The sequence below is a fragment of the Homo sapiens genome, chromosome 14, assembly GCF_000001405.40.
Source record: "Homo sapiens chromosome 14, GRCh38.p14 Primary Assembly".
In the NCBI taxonomy this organism is placed as follows: domain Eukaryota; kingdom Metazoa; phylum Chordata; class Mammalia; order Primates; family Hominidae; genus Homo; species Homo sapiens.
The window spans coordinates 103,682,194-103,697,463 of NC_000014.9; the positions used below are offsets into that span (position 1 = coordinate 103,682,194).

Genomic DNA, 15,270 nt, shown 5'->3' on the forward strand with positions numbered 1-15,270 from the left:
CCCCCTCTCTACTAAAAATATAAAAAATTAGCCGTGCATGGTTGCGGGCGCCTGTAGTCCCAGCTACTCAGGAGGCTGAGGCAGGAGAATGATGTGAACCCGGGAGGCGGACCTTGCCGTGAGCCAAGATCACGTCACTGCACTCCAGCCTGGGTGACAGAGCAAGACTCTGTCTCAAAAAGAAAAAAAAAAAAAAAGAGTATACCTGTGCCCGGTTGCTGTAGCTCATGCCTGTAATCCCACCACTTTGGGAGGCCAAGGCGGGTGGATCATTTGAGGTTAGTAGTTTGAGACCAGCTTGGCCAACATGGGGAAACTCTATCTCTACTAAAAATGCAAAAATTAGCTGGGCATGGTAGCAGGCACCTGTAATCCCAGCTACTTGGGAGGCCAAGGCAGGGAATCCCTTGAAACCTGGAGGCAGAGGTTGCAGTGAGCCAAGATCACGCCACCGCACTCCAGCCTGGGTGACAGAGCAAGAGTGTCTCGAGAAAAAAAAGAAAAAAGAAAAAACAACTATACCTGTTATCTGTATAATGAGAAAATGTGATTTCAATTATATATATATATATGTATATGTATGTATATGTATTTTTTTTTTTTTTTTTTGAGATGGAGGTTGCCCAGGCTGGAGTTAGGTGGCACAATCTCCACTCACTGCAACCTTTGCCTTCCGGGTTCCAGCGATTCTCCTGCCTCAGCCTAGAAGGCATTTTAATGCTTTTTAAAAGGTTGAAAACTACTACCATAGGGAAAAACATTGTGCCTCCCTGTTGGGAAGTTACAGCTTCAGCAGAAGTGACTGCCAGGAATGAATGTGACAGCTTTTGATTAAGTTATAATAACCACATACACCAGATATTCGGCTCAGTTTTTCTCAATATTCATAAGTAACATTGAAAACAAAGAGTTATGTGGTCAAAGAAAGGACAAACTGGTTAATGATAATCGTCCCCTGTGGGCCCTGGGCGTTGGTGTCACACAGAACTGAGAAGCAAAGCGGGTGGTGACAGACCCTGGTAATGTGCAGGGAGCGTCCGGATCGGAGTCTCGACCTGGTGGGTGGTTTGTCCAGGGAAGGACAGTTCTCTTCTTTAGGTACACACGGTAGGGACTATGATTAAACTACTTGACAGCGGCACCTCTGTGACCTCATTTTCGTGTGACACATGCAGATCTGGAAGCCGCCGTCACCGTGAGTCTCAGTTGGCTCTCTCTCACGGTCTTGCCTCTGAAAATGCAACTGCATTGTGCACAGAAATCCTTTTCTGGGTAAAACTGGGTCTTCTATAACTGCTGTCCGTGTGGCTTCATGTTCATGGTGTGATGTGCATGTGTCAGCCACCAGCACCAGGTCCCTGTTGGGATGTGGGAGCCCCTTGGGCTGTCTCATCATTTAGCAGTTGTCTTTACAGTGGTCCCATCCTCTGTAAAGACACACAGAGCCACATCACACATCCTCTATCCTAGGTGGAGCCCGGGGTCTGCCTCCCAGCTGCACCACCTTTGTCTGTCTGCAGGTCGCCAGCTCTGCTGGGGCCTTCTGAAGCAGCCTCTCTCCGTCTTGCCATTCTTTTCACACTGCTCCCATGTTAAGATTTCTACACGTTTCGAAGACACTAAATTCTTACCTAGGATTATTGGGGAATGGAATATATGGTTAGAAATAGATGAATTTTTATTTTTAAAAAATGACAATAAGGGCTGGACGAGGTGGCTCATGCCTGTAATCCCAGGACTTTGGGAGGCCGAGGCGGGTGGATCACTTGAGGCCAGGAGTTCGAGACCAGCCTGGCCAACATGGCGAAAACTCGTCTGTGCGAAAAAAACAAAAATCAGCCAGGCATGGTCGTGCGCGCCTGTAATCCCAGTTACTCAGGAGGCTGAGGCAGGGAATTGCTTGAACCCAGTAGGTGGAGGCTGCATTGAGCCAAGATCATGCCACTGCACTCCAGCCTGGGTGACAGAGCCAGAATCTGTCTCAAATTACACTAGTAAGACAACTAGAATATGCCAAAAATAAATAAACTTAAGCACTAAATTATCTGAGATCCTACTGTATACAGATAATAACGATGACTGCATATTTTTAAACTGTGAACACATTATCCTATTAATCCTGCTCAGGTAACCCACCTTTGTAATGTGAATATTCTTTCCCAGTAATATAAAGAGGTAGACAGTTTCTTAAGCTGTTAGAATGCAGTGAATCCTCCCAGGCCCTGAAGTCCAGTTGAATGGAAATCTGCCTGGGCCAGGGCAGCCGCCGGCCTTCCCCCTGGTTCTCACAGCCAAGGTCCTCAGGTGGCAAGTTCAGGGAAGCAGGCAGACTGACCCAGAGTGGGGCAGACCCGCTCCACTGCCAACCCCAGGTGCTGGTCTGGGTCTGCAGAGGCTCAGGGAGGAGGAGGCAGCTGGGTCGGACCCCAATTCTGGGACTCCTGGGCCCATTGCCCAGCTGTCAGCTGTCAGCTTGCTACTCCAGCAGCTGCAGAGGGGAGAGAGAGCATGAGTGAGCGTGTGTGCACGCGTGTGTGTGTGTGTCACATGAAATACTTTTGAATCTGAGTGAAATGAATCTTCTGTGTTCTGCCAAGCATTTAGTTGAGGTGTATTATAAACTACTGTAGTGTAGCGCTGAGTTTTGAAATGAACAGCAGGGGCTGCACTGTTAATGACGATACGTTAGCATTTTAGCATCCTTTTTCTCAAGAGCAGCAAAAACTTATGTTTTCTTGTCCTCCCCACATTTTTGAGGTGTTGGTAACAAGTGTTATTTTTCCATTTTAAAGATGAGGAAAATGAAGCTCGGGCTGGTTAACTGACTTGCTCAGCGTCCCATGGTGAGTCCGAGCGGGCGGGGCGCAGGCCCTGCCGTCTGGCGCTTCTGTCGAGACGTCGGCTTTCCAACCTGGCAGGACCCAGGACGCATTGCTGCCTGTGGAAATTAATTTTCTTTTGGATTATCAACTGCATGTTTAAAATGGGCTGTAGACTTTTAAAGTCCGTGGTTTCCTAAAGTTTCTGAAATGTCTAAAATGTGTTTTTAAGAGAATGAAAGTCATACCTGTAGCCTTTATTTTGGTCCCTATGTTTTTCATTGCATAATCTCCTTATATACAGTTACTTGTAAAGCCTTTTACACCAAGTGTCAAGGAGATTTCTAATACGTTGCCAATCTTTACGCTTAAAGTGTTGACATTTACTTTGATGACCATTGGGAATGGACCAGTCTGGATTCTGTGAAATGCACCATGAGGCCCAGCACCTGCTTTATGCTGGACTGGTAGAAGCAGGCAGAAGGTCATCCCAGTCCTAAAGCCACTCAGAAGGCTGCTGAGACTTGTGACCTAGAAATACTGTAAGCCAGGCTGTTATGCAGAGCCTGTTGCCTTTCCTCGCCGCGGTTTCACGTGGGTTTTCTCTCTCCTTTCTGTCTGACAGGCCTAGCCGCCCGTGACTCTCACACTGTCTCCTGCATGACGGGTGGCGCCTCCCGCAGCTTCCCTTCTCTCTCCAGTGCTGCCCGCTGTGTCTAGCAGCCTCTAGGATCTTGTCAGAGCTGCACCTCTCTGTGAACTGGCCATTCCTTTCGGTGCTGCTGTCCTTTTTGGGGGGGTTCCTGATTTCTGTATACATGTAGCTTTGCCAGATATGTACTTAGTAATATAAACTGTATTAATAAAATCCATTTACTGTGTAATACACGAGTTTAAAAATTAAGAGCGATTAGCTGTTCACTTTGGTAACAGGTAGTTAAGTGTCACACAAGGTGTTGTTGCAATGGCATGACGGTGACCTGTTGACGTAACTAAGCCTTACAGCAAGGCATGTGCCGCACGTGCTCCGTGGTACTTAGAGCCCTGGGGGCCCCGCTCGGACTCCGGGTCTCCCTAGGATATGCCCCAGTAGCATTTGCTGTGTAGTCTGTGTGTGAAATTTGGGCATTCTGCTTTTCTCTACTAATCTTGAAGTGCTCAGTGATTTGTGTATTTGTGTCTTTCTAACTTCTAATAAACTCACTCCGACTGACCTGTGTCTTGGTGTCTGTCTGCTTGGTAGAACTTCTCACTCTTTATCCATGAAACGCCGCATGGCACAGCTGCTAGGGGTCATGGGGTGACAGTTCATCTCACCAAGGAGTTCCTTCCAAGAAGAAATGCTGCTGTATGCACATCTTCTTCACTCTGTGTTTTTTATTTTCATGTTCAGATACTGCCAAGTATTTCACTTATTAATACCTGAATCAATTAAGATGAGAGCTGGGCACTCTCACCTCCCTACAAGGTTGTCTGAGGATTTTTAGTTATTTGTATAGAATGGGCATTTTATTTAATTTTCCAACCACCTTTGTAGTTAACATTTAATGAAACTGTTCTGTAAAATTTACTGAAGGAAACAGTACCTCCAACTATTGCATTTAGACGAAACTGTTAAAAGGAAGAGCCTCTGTCAGATCCAAATGGTTTGGGTCCTGTACTGTGTTACTTGTACCAGATGCTTATGTATCTGTTAAATGTGGAAGTCGATTTTGATGATATTCTTAGAAGCTGCTTTAATTTTCCTGAGACTTTGTGTGTTGGCTTTTGTCTCAAAATAGCAGGATTCACATTGCTTTTGGGATGCGATCACTTGTTTGAATGAGCTTCCTTATGTCCAAAGGTTTTCATGATCATTGGATTATCTTTAATGAAACTTAAAAAGAACAATTTCTAGTTAAAGTATATTCACGTACATGGTAATTGGTGGTTTCTGCAAGACTCTGTCAGCAGTGAGCTGCTGGCAAGCAGGGCGGCCTTGGTGGAGCTCTTATTTGCACCCGGTGTGGCTCTTGTGGGAAGGAGGGAGAACCACCTGCAGCTTCACGTTTGTTCACGTTTTTTTCAGGATGGCACTGGATCTTTAAAACGCAGTGGTTCCTTTAGCAAACTCCGGGCTTCCATTAGACGCAGCAGTGAGAAGCTGGTTAGGAAGCTGAAGGGAGGAAGTTCACGAGAGAGTGAGCCAAAGAACCCCGGGTAACTATCTCTTCCAGCTCTCCCGACTCCCTGCACGCCGGCTGCTGGGCCGCTTCTCTTCCTAGCGCAGCCTTCCTCACCCACAGACTTGAGGAAAGACACTCCAGTTGGTTCCCGTATTCTCACAACCGAAGGGTTTCATAGTTGCCACGTAGGTTTTTCCCAGGATAGGTTGAGAAGTAATTGGGTAACTTCCTGTTAGTGGCTAAAGGGCGAATACCTTTAAAAGAAATTTATGGAATTTTTTGATTCTGTCACATGTTCTAAGAAAGCCTTAGCAACGAAATGTGGGCATTTATATTAAAATGTTGAGCATTTTGAACTTGTTTACTCTAGATATGCATTATTTTTTAAATTAGCATTAGTTTAAATTCTTTAAAAATTTTAATCTTTTAAATAAATCAGATGTTAGCTATGACTATATTAAATCTCATACAGTATTATAATAGGGAGAAAAATGGTTTCAAATAGGATCAGAACTTTTAAGACTTTATTATAAGGAGATTTTCAAAACCTCAGGCTTTTCATATGTTTAAAAAAAGGTTTGAGTCATGGGTCTTAGAGGCTTTTGAAAAATAACATTTAAGTTGTCAAAGGAATTTGGTTCTTAAGATATCCTTTGTTTTTAATATGGTGCACAAAGTTGACAGATTGTCCCTGCCGCAGTGTCCAGGGTCACCTCTGGGCAGCTGCTCCTGGCTTGGACGTATTTCTCATGAGGCAGACTTTTGCCAGCCACTCTGTGTAACTCTGACTTCCTAAATGGTGACCGACTTTTTAGAGACTGATTCCTAGTAAAACTATTTTACAAGTGATCCCACTTTAAGTTCTGTGAGTAAGAAGTCTGATCACCTCAGGATGGTGAAACCGAGTTCTTCTGGAGAACATATTGGAAATAATAAAGTTATGTGCCTGATCAGTTGTTTCGTTACTCTGTCTTTTTCGTTGTTGTTGTTGAGATGGAGTTTCGTTCTTGTTCCCCAAGCTGGAGTGCAATGGCACCATCTCGGTCACCGCAACCTCCGCCTCCTGGGTTCAAGTGATTCTCCTGCCTCAGCCTCCCAAGTAGCTGGGATTACAGGCACATGCCACCACGCCTGGCTAGTTTTTTGTATTTTTAGTAGAAACGGGGTTTCACCATGTTAGCCAGGCTGGTCTCGAACTCCTGACTTCAGGTGATCTTCCCGTCTCGGCCTCCCAAATTGCTGGGATTACAGGTGTGAGCCACCGTGCCTGGCCTATTTTGTCTTTTAAAAGCTATTTAAAAAAAAAAGTATGTCCACTTTTTCATCTCTCTCAGTATCCCTGATAACCTAAGCCCTTAGAACTGTTGCCATACACGGCCAGGGTGCGGGGTGGCCAGAGATGGCCCAGTCCCTTAGTGGTAGGGCTCACCCTCTTGTCCGCTTGGTATCCCTGTGGGAGTCTCTGTCGTGGATGGAGACTTCTCTTCATGGCTGTGAGAGAGGTGCAGGCCTGAGGCAAGAGGAGTGACGTGGCTTTTGTAAGGAGCTTCTCACAACTGTTTTCCAGCCCATTTCTGGAGAGGGAGTTTTAGGAGCCCCACAAATGTTCATTCAGAAAACTCCCTGGAAGATCCCAAGGATTTGAAGACTGGACTTCTGGAAGTTTATGGGGACTTAGCAGCAAATTGCTTACAATGAAACAAATGAACTCTTATTTGGGGGAAATGGATTTTAAATTGCCTTTGGAATAGTGATCTTATTTTAAAATGTTTACAGATTTCCAGAACCAAAATGATAGATTACTATCTGCCTCTCGATGAATTTTGAGATTACACATTTCTTCTTAAACAGCATTGAGAGGGTTGGAGCAGTGCTGTGTGACTGCTTGGTGTCGCTTCCTTGGAATGATGTGAGGTGTCACACAGCAGCTCTCAGATCCCCTCCAGGAATTACATGATGCCCAGAGAGAGCATTCTGGACATTATTTAATTCCTGGAGGGGATCACACTGATTGTTTGAGGTTCTTAAGTTTTGAAGCCTTTTAAGTGCAGAGTCCAGTTCTGGTGCTGAGTGTTGTAACTTGGACCACACTCCCACATGACAGCTCTCAGAGTTGTTCTGTTTTCTCGTGTTTTGTGTCTTTGCCGTGATAAAAATGTAGCAGTGTGTGACCAGTCCCCAGTGTTAGAACTGTGGTCAGTGTTCATGGGGCTGTAGCACTGCCAGCCTGAACCATGTGACATAGATGCACACACTTGCACGGACTAACGTTTTCTACATGACTTTGGAAATTGCATCCCGTAAAATGCATACAACTGAATAATCTTTCCAAATAAGAGTGACTGTTTTTATTAACTAGACAGTAGTCTCAGACATCTTTTGGAGGGTTTGTTCAGACAGAGACTGTGAGGCCCCACCCCTGAGTTTCCAATTCCTGAGTCCCTGATCTCAGAATTTGCATTTCACACAAGTTCCCACAGTGCTGGGGCTGCTGGCCCGGGGCCACTTTTTGAGAATCGCTCAAGGACCAGGGTGTTTGCAGCTTGCTGTTTGGCTGACTCCTAACAGTGACTGTACTGAAAGGTTTTGAATGCCACGTGTTCAAACAAGGCAGTTCGCAAGAGTGGTAGGAAGAGACGTTGAGGATTCGAGTTGTTCTTTCGTTTCGTAAAAGGGGGTTTGAGGGAAGGTTGTGTAGCTCTTTTAAAAAGAGTTAATGGCGGCCGGTGCAGTGGCTGATGCCTGTAATCCCAGCACTTTGGGAGGCCTAGGTGGGTGGATCACTTGAGATCAGGAGTTTGAAACCAGCCTGGCCATCATGGCGAAACCCCGTCTCTACTAAAAATACAAAAATTAGCCGGGCCAGGTGGTGCATGCCTGTGGTCCCAGCTACTCAGGAGGCTGAGGCAGGAGAATCACTGGAACCCAGTAGGGCAGAGGTTGCAGTGAGCCAAGATCACACCACTGCACTCCAGCCTGGGCGATGGAGTGAAACTTCGTCTCAAAAAAAAAAAAAAGTTAATGGCCACTTTATAGCAAGAATAACTGAGTATGTCAGATGATAATTTACTTGTGATTTGGTTTGATTTTATACTTTGTTCTTGAGTGGTTCTAGGTAGAGAAAAACCTGTTTGGGACTCCAGCAATGTCTGTTGTGGGCTTCATTGGGATGTTTTTGTTTTGTCCTGGTTGGGACATTTTGGGGGTGAGTTTTGCCTGGGGATAAGGAAATTCAGGTCTTGCTTTTGGTGCAGTTGTTCGGCAGGGGCTGGCTGAGTATCTGCCATGTGCCAGGCGCTGTGCTCACAGCACTGCTGACACACGGGTGGGTGCCCTGGGCTTTCAGCCTCATCCCAGTGTCCTGTGTGAGGCTGTCCCTGTCACCCCTCAAGCCTGTGCCTCAGCCTCACAGCCACCGTCCTTGGCTTTCCCAGGAACTGCTGCGCTCATGTTCGCTGTCCCATGTTGCATGCAGTTCACGTTCAGAATTCAAGTAACCCTCAGTATCGGTTGCTTTAGCTTTAAAACTTCAGGGGAGTTTATGTTCAAAGGCATCCATGGTGGTGGTGAACAACGATAGTCATTTTATGACTGTCCATCATTTAAGTTATAGATTATTTATAGGCTGTTTCATCAAGTATTTTAAATACATCAGATGGAGGAAAAGTAAATATATGTATACATTCCTGTATTCCTTTAAGTGGAGAACCATGACTTTATGTTACATTTTGCTTTCTAAGTAGAAAAATACTGGCTTCAGAGTTTATTTTACTAACAATAAAGTTGATTTCCCAGCTTTTAATATAGAAAGATAAAAAATATGACAGTATATTTATGCATCATCTTTTAGCAGTGAGTTTTGAGTGTCTCTTCATGATCCCTTAGTGGTGACGAGTCTGACATGAGCCCTGGAGCACCCTCCCTGAAAAGCATCAGACTGAAGGCAGAGCCTCTCTGCTCCCAGATGGTTCCCCCCACTTTTTTTTTTTTTTTTTTTCTGAGACAGAGTCTTGCTGTGTCGCCCAGGCTGGACTACAGTGGAGTGATCTTGGCTCACTGCAACCTCTGCCTCCTGGGCTTAAGTGAATCTTGTGCCTCAGCCTCCAGAGTAGCTGGGATTACAGGTGTGTACCACCACGCCTGGCTAATTTTTTGCATTTTTAGTAGAGACAGGGTTTCACCACGTTGCCCAGGCTGGTTGTGAACTCTGGGCCTCAAGTGATCCACCCGCCTCAGTCTCCCAAAGTGCTGGGATTACAAGCATGAGCCACCACGCCTGGCTTTTTTTTTTTTTTTTTTTTTTTTTTTTGGTAGGTGGAGTCTCACTCTTGCGTAGGCTGGAGTGCAGTGGCGTGATCTCAGCTCACTGCAACCTCTGTCTCCTGGGTTCAAATGATTTTCCTGCCTCAGCCTCCCAAGTAGCTGGAATTACAGGCACATGCCACCATGCCCAGCTAATTTTTTGTATTTTAGTAGAGATGGGGTTTCACCGTGTTGCTCAGGCTGGTCTCAAACTCCTGAGCTCAGGCAGTCTGCCCGCCTCAGCCTCCCAAAGATTACAGGTGTGAGCCACTGCAGCTGGTCTTTTTTTTGTTTCGTTTTGTTTTAAAGAGAGACAGGGTCTTGCTCTGTCTCCCAGGCTGGAGTGCAGTGGTGCAGTCATGGCTCACTGCAGCCTTGACCACCTGGGCTCAAGTGATCCTCCACTTCTGCCTCCTGAGCAGCTGGGACTACAGATGCATGCCACCACGCCTGGCTAATTTTTGTATTTTTGTAGAGATGGGGTTTCCCCATGTTACCCGGGATGGTCTTGAACTCCTGGGCTTAAGTGATCCTCCTGCCTTGGCCTTCCAAAGCATTGGGATTACAGACTTGAGCCACTATACCCAGTCTAGATGAGCCACTTTTTAAAAGTGCAAGTCTAAGGACATTTTGAGTTTGCATATGGTACTTTAAAAGAAGCATTTTGCTGTGAAAGATGCAGAGAAGCTGTGGTCTTTTCTCCTGGGCACTAAATAGAGTGAGACATAGGACTCCCCGGTTACCCAAGCAAGATGAAGGCAAGGTCCCTAGAGCCCCCAGTGTCACAGAGGCGTTGGAGGGGGCTTTGCTTGTGCTTCCTGTTGCTGGTTGACCGATGTGCTGATCGTTTGTCCTTGCATGTCCGTGTCCGGGTTGCAGCATGAAGCGTGCCAGCTCTCTGAATGTCCTTAACGTGGGTGGCAAGGCTGCTGAAGATCGCTTTCAAGTAAGGAGCCTACCCCGAATTGTGTCCTAGGCTGCCCAGACCACGCTGGCAGGTCTGCTGCAGACCCGCACTCGGCCCCTGCTCGGCCCCTGCTCCTGCAGAGGGCTGGGGACGCCGCCACGTTTGTTCCTAGACAGACAGTTGTGACAGTAGTATTTTTATATTCTGCTTAACCACTGATTATGTGAATTATGGGCATGTTCACACTGTGAACATTCTCAGAATATTAATTAATGATCTCAAATGGTCTTTAAAAATAGTTTAACCTAATTAATGTATTCTGTTAAAGTACTGTCAAAGCTCGACCAATTACTAGTTTGTATGATTGTTTGATTTTAGCCTCTACTAAGTTTATAACTATTAATAATTAATTGTCTACTTAAGCTGTTGTTCAGTGTTCAGAAGTATTCAAAACTCTGTTAACATGATGACTAGCGTGCTGTCAGTTTGACACTAAAACCTGAAGCACTCGGTGCAGTTGCTCGGGCCTCACACAGACACATCAGGTTTACATCTGAAAGTACTGCCTCCCTTCCCCATCACGGAGGCCGTTTGAGTTTTCATCCACTCCGCCCTTTGGTGTGGCTGTCAGTGGGTGGCCGGGTGCCTGTGGCTGCTCTAGAACCTGTTTCTCAGGTGCCTGGGGCCCACCCGGCAGCTCGAGCTGTTGGGACTTGGCAGTCCCTGCCCCTGTGCTGGTGCTGAGAGTTCGCGACAGTGGCCAGGCACTGCCCTCCCAGTTGTCCAGATCCACTAATCCTCACAGACAGGCCAGTGCCCCGACCTGTCCCCCAACACTCTTGGGAGGCAGCCATCTCGGGAAAGCTTTTCCCCAGCCCCCTTCTCGGTGGCTGTTAAAGAGGCTTGTAGGGTGCTGGACATGTTGCTTGAAGCACCCCTAATGACAAGAGGAAAGAAAGTCTCTTCATTTTACAGGGTCCTGTAGCTGACCCAGTGTTTGCCCTCCAGTTTCTTGGAGTTTCTACATGCACATTGACCCCTGGGCCTCTCGAGTGCCAACCTAGATTTAGCTGTGCAGCTGGTACTGTTAGGCCTGAGGCCATTTGAAGCTGGCATCATTTGAAGTCCTGGTTAAGTGTAATTTTTCTATTTGTTTTTTCATGCAGGAACGAAATAATTGTCTGGCCGACTCGCGAGCTCTGAGTGCCAGCCACACTGACCTGGCCCACTGAGAGCCAGCAGGGCTAGGTAACCTGTCTTGGGAGTGTGAGACCGCCCCGCCCTGCCACGCCCCTCACCGCCCTGCCCGGAGGCGCCAGCCGCACTCCTTGGCTTCCTTTCCTAGATAGTGACGTCCACCAACCTTGGAGGTGCCTTTTCAAAACACCCGGGAGGCCGTGCCTCAGCATTCTGTTACTCGGCCTGCAGCCCCAGTGCCAGGAGCCACCCCGACCGCGACCCGGCCAGGCTGGCTCAGGGAGGCCGAGGTGGCGCTGAGGTGGCTTCAGCACGCTGGGGATTGGCTCCTGCTCACGGATGCTGTTGCATTTCCTGCCTGCCACCTTTTTGCCATGACACCAGACTCTCTTTTAAATTGTAATATTGTAATAAGGCTGTAAATTAAGAATCTGGAAACATAAAGTACCCCTTTCAGAACGATAGGCATTTAGTGATCTATGGCAGTAAAGCCTGAAGCTTAGCGGACACTGGTCAGTGGGAAGTGAATTCCTTCCCAGCTGGAGCATCTTCCGGGTCTCTCTTTCCAAGGTCCCCATGCCTGTGGCCCTGGGGCCCCATGCCCCCTTTTGAGCTGTGTTCTCCCGGACGCCCCTGCACACGAAGCCCATAGAGACGTGTGTTTCACTTTTTTTTTTTTTTTTTTTGAGACGGAGTCTAACTCTGTTGCCCAGGCTGGAGCGCAGTGGCCCAATCTCGGCCCACTGCAAGCTCCACCTCCTGGGTTCACGCCATTCTCCTGCCTCAGCCTCCCGAGTAGCTGGGACTACAGGCACCCGCCAGGCGGATCACAAGGTCAGGAGATCGAGACCATCCTGGCTAACATGGCGTTTCACTTTTTAAAAGCTTAAGCTTTATGGAATGAGGGAGCACGGTGGACTCTGACAGGAACCTTTTCAAATCAATGCTGAGGCTGTATTTCTTAGCCGTCCACAAACTAGTCCATAGGTAAAGAGCATACAAAACAGACGCCGAGGTGATCAGTGATTCCAAAGGCTGACGCTCAGCAGCGCCACCTCCATGCCAGCCAACTAGGCTACGGGATGGAGGGGCGGTCTGTGAAACACCAGCCATCCCGTGAAAGCTCAGCTTGCCACTGTCATGTAACAGGGTGGGTGGTGGCACAGCAGAGGCTCACACTTGTCACCTTCAGCCTCTAGAAGCTCCCCGTGGGGCACGAAGGCTGGGGACAGAGTGTCCTGAGGTTTTGTTACAAGGCTAGACTTTAAAATACCTTTCAAAGTTTCATCCCGCCTCATGTCGCAGGACTGCTGTGTTTGTGAAAGCGCGTTTGTTTCCACAAGACAAGCTCCGTGTAGTCGCCAGCGGGTGCCTGGCCCAGGAGCTGCCCTGTGGAGCCAGCGTTGTCCCCGAGCTGCTCGCCTGTGGCCGTGGCTCCTTTTCTGAGGCTCCTGACTCCATTCTTGCAGATTCTGGTGGATCAGGAGCTTACATTCTAAATGCTACATAGAGGTGTTGAAGAAAATTTCATAGGTTCTGTAATAGTGGATGGGATTAAAAGAAAAAATGTTAAATTATATATATATATATGGCTGGGTGCGGTGGTTCATGCCAGTAATCCTATAATCTTAGCACTTTGGGAGGCTGAGGCGGGAGGATCACTTGAGCCCAGTTCAAGAACAGCTTGGGCAACACAGCGAGTCCCTGTGTCTAGCAAAAAAAACCATGTGTATATATATATATATGTGTGTGTGTGTATATATATATATATATATATACATACATATATATACATATATAATTTGATGGGTTGTGAGAAGCCAACCCCCCCCAAAAAAAGGGGGGTGTAGAGCAGCTTCCCCTGACAGGTGCCGTGGCTGCCCCCGTAGTGGGCTATGTCTGTGCACAGGCGACAGGGAGGAGGGCTCCGGAGCTTCCCTTGTGGTGGGGGTGCCTTCTCCCTGTGAGGATGCTGAGCAGAGTTTGGAACCCAGACAGTTTCCCTTAGTGACAGTTATCTGGAAAGGAAAAAGGGCATTTAGAAGGAATAAACATAGGGCTGAATATGGAGTTGAATTTTAACCTCTTCAGACTGATGGGTGCAGACGAGGTTGTGTGGGGCCTCTGTGGAGCCTGCTGTGGCTTCCAGCCATGGGACTTTAGGGCCGAGGTGGCCTCTGCAGCACTGTGGCTGTGGGAGCACTGTGTGTTGGGGTAAGAGAAGCCAGGGGGCCTCCCTGAAGCCAGCTCATAAAGGAAGGTTCGTGTTTCAGAGGGAGGCGGCAAGGGAATCTGAGTACCTGAGTCCCCGATGTTTGAACCCTTCCACCCAATAGAAGTGCGGTGATTTCAGCCATTTCCCATCTGGCGGTCTGAATTTTTCCCTTCAGAGGAGAGAAGTGGTGGGCCCAGGCATCCCTCCTCCTGTGTGTGGTCGTTCTGGTGAGAGGAACCCCACGCGAGAGTCAGCACCTGTTTCTTCAGAGTTGCTGTCAAAATAATCACTGCGCCCCCGCCCCCCGCCCCCCCCCACAGCAGCCGTGTGTGCAGCGCCCGTCCCCAGCAACCATGGCATGGGAGCGTCTGGATCTGTGGGCGGACAGCATATCTCTGGGTAGTTGGTGCAGCTGTGGCAGAAATCAGGCCCCTGGGGAAGTCCTGTGACATGGATGCTTCCCTGAAGCAGCAGCAGTGTGTGGCTCAGGGGTCCTCAGAGGCCGGTGGTGCCCGCGGGTGGCACGGGGCACTCTCATGGGCAGCACTTGGTCTTGTGTTTACAGTATTGGAGGGATTCACATCGTTGTTTTCTGGATTAAGCTGCTAGGAGTATCATGTACTTAGAAATTCAGTGTTTATAGTAAGATGTATTAAACATTGCTAATGATGTATCGTTACAATGTATAACAGGTTTTCCATTGTCATAACTGTATGGAATTTTCTTGGAGGATGTCATTAGCTTCTGTTTGCACTGACTTGTGAGCTGTGTGTACGCTGTGGTCAGATTTCTGAATGCTGTAGAGCACTTACCAGCTCTGACCGTGTCTTGCTGGGGCCAGCAGGCTGCGTGTGCAGCGGGGCCAGCTGTCTCAGGGCTGATATGTAGACGTGTATTCTGTTTACAATTAGTTCCCCAACTCTGTGGGGAAGAACTTAAGCGGTTTTAGTGTTTTATAATATGGTGAGGCAATGAGGGTCAGGGCGCGTGGTCCCTGAGGGAGGGTCTTCAGGGCAAGACCCATGGCCCTGGCCTGGAACTGTGCTCCCCAGGGCGTGGTGCCTCCCTAAGGGGATGGTCAGTGTTCTGGGACTGACTGCCAGGCCAGCCCGTCTGCAGACTCCTGTGGTGGGAGTTCCCTGGGACGGGAAGCCCCTCGGCCCCTTCCCTCCAGGGGCAGGAACTGAGCCAGCATGGGCGGGGCCGGCCGAGCTTCCAGGCGTGTTTTCTCTGTTAAATGTACCTCTGTCTTTAAGCTGTCTCATTTTCTAATCGCTGGCATGTCTTGCCTAGAAAAGCATTTGGAATTGCTTATGTTCAATTACAGAAATAAAATGTCTTACTTGCCATTGTAGAATTCCTGCACTTTTGCAGAAAGGCTGTTTTGTAAAAATCCAACCCCAAAATAACTTTTTCCCATGTTCATGCCAGTGATTCTTAACTTTAGGGTCATAGAGAGCCTTGATAACATGATGAAGGTTTAAACGGATTGTCCCACCCTGGAAAACGGCAAACAGAAAAATTCTGCACAGTATGGCCCCAGCCCTTACCTTTCCCCCAACCAGTGCCAGCCCCCCTTCCTCCCACTGTAGGAGCACCCACAGGCTCACCCTGGGCACATAAGGTGGGGGGTGACAATTTCTGCCTCTGGGTTGTGGGAGGAGT

The 15,270-nt window shown here is 48.0% G+C and overlaps 1 protein-coding gene across 32 annotated transcripts in view, besides 2 other annotated features; it reads left to right on the top strand.

Annotated features, from left to right (window-relative positions):
• The window catches only part of KLC1 (kinesin light chain 1), a 72,334-nt gene that overhangs the window by 52,983 nt on the left and 4,081 nt on the right, over nt 1-15,270 (top strand). For 6 of the 32 annotated variants that reach the window (NM_001394836.1, NM_001394839.1, NM_001130107.2 and 3 more), the window contains exon 14: nt 4,888-5,018. The exons of 5 other annotated variants lie outside the window; for them this stretch is intronic. In NM_001394836.1, coding sequence (NP_001381765.1) covers nt 4,888-5,018 — 131 coding nt within the window. Of the gene's footprint in view, nt 1-2,792; nt 2,844-3,444; nt 4,033-4,887; nt 5,019-10,165; nt 10,233-11,359; nt 14,963-15,270 lie in introns of those variants that run through there. 21 more of the 32 variants (NM_001394849.1, NM_001394850.1, NM_005552.5 and 18 more) reach the window with 7 other exon arrangements.
• Nucleotides 7,066-7,266: a silencer, noted in NCBI's record as "peak2255 fragment used in MPRA reporter construct". NCBI's record gives its function as "represses an SCP1 promoter by STARR-seq MPRAs in K562 erythroleukemia cells {active_cell/tissue: K562}" and the evidence as "EXISTENCE:reporter gene assay evidence [ECO:0000049][PMID:32103011]".
• Nucleotides 7,117-7,166: a silencer, noted in NCBI's record as "silent region_6169". NCBI's record gives its function as "represses an Ori minimal core promoter by ATAC-STARR-seq in GM12878 lymphoblastoid cells {active_cell/tissue: GM12878}" and the evidence as "EXISTENCE:reporter gene assay evidence [ECO:0000049][PMID:35858748]".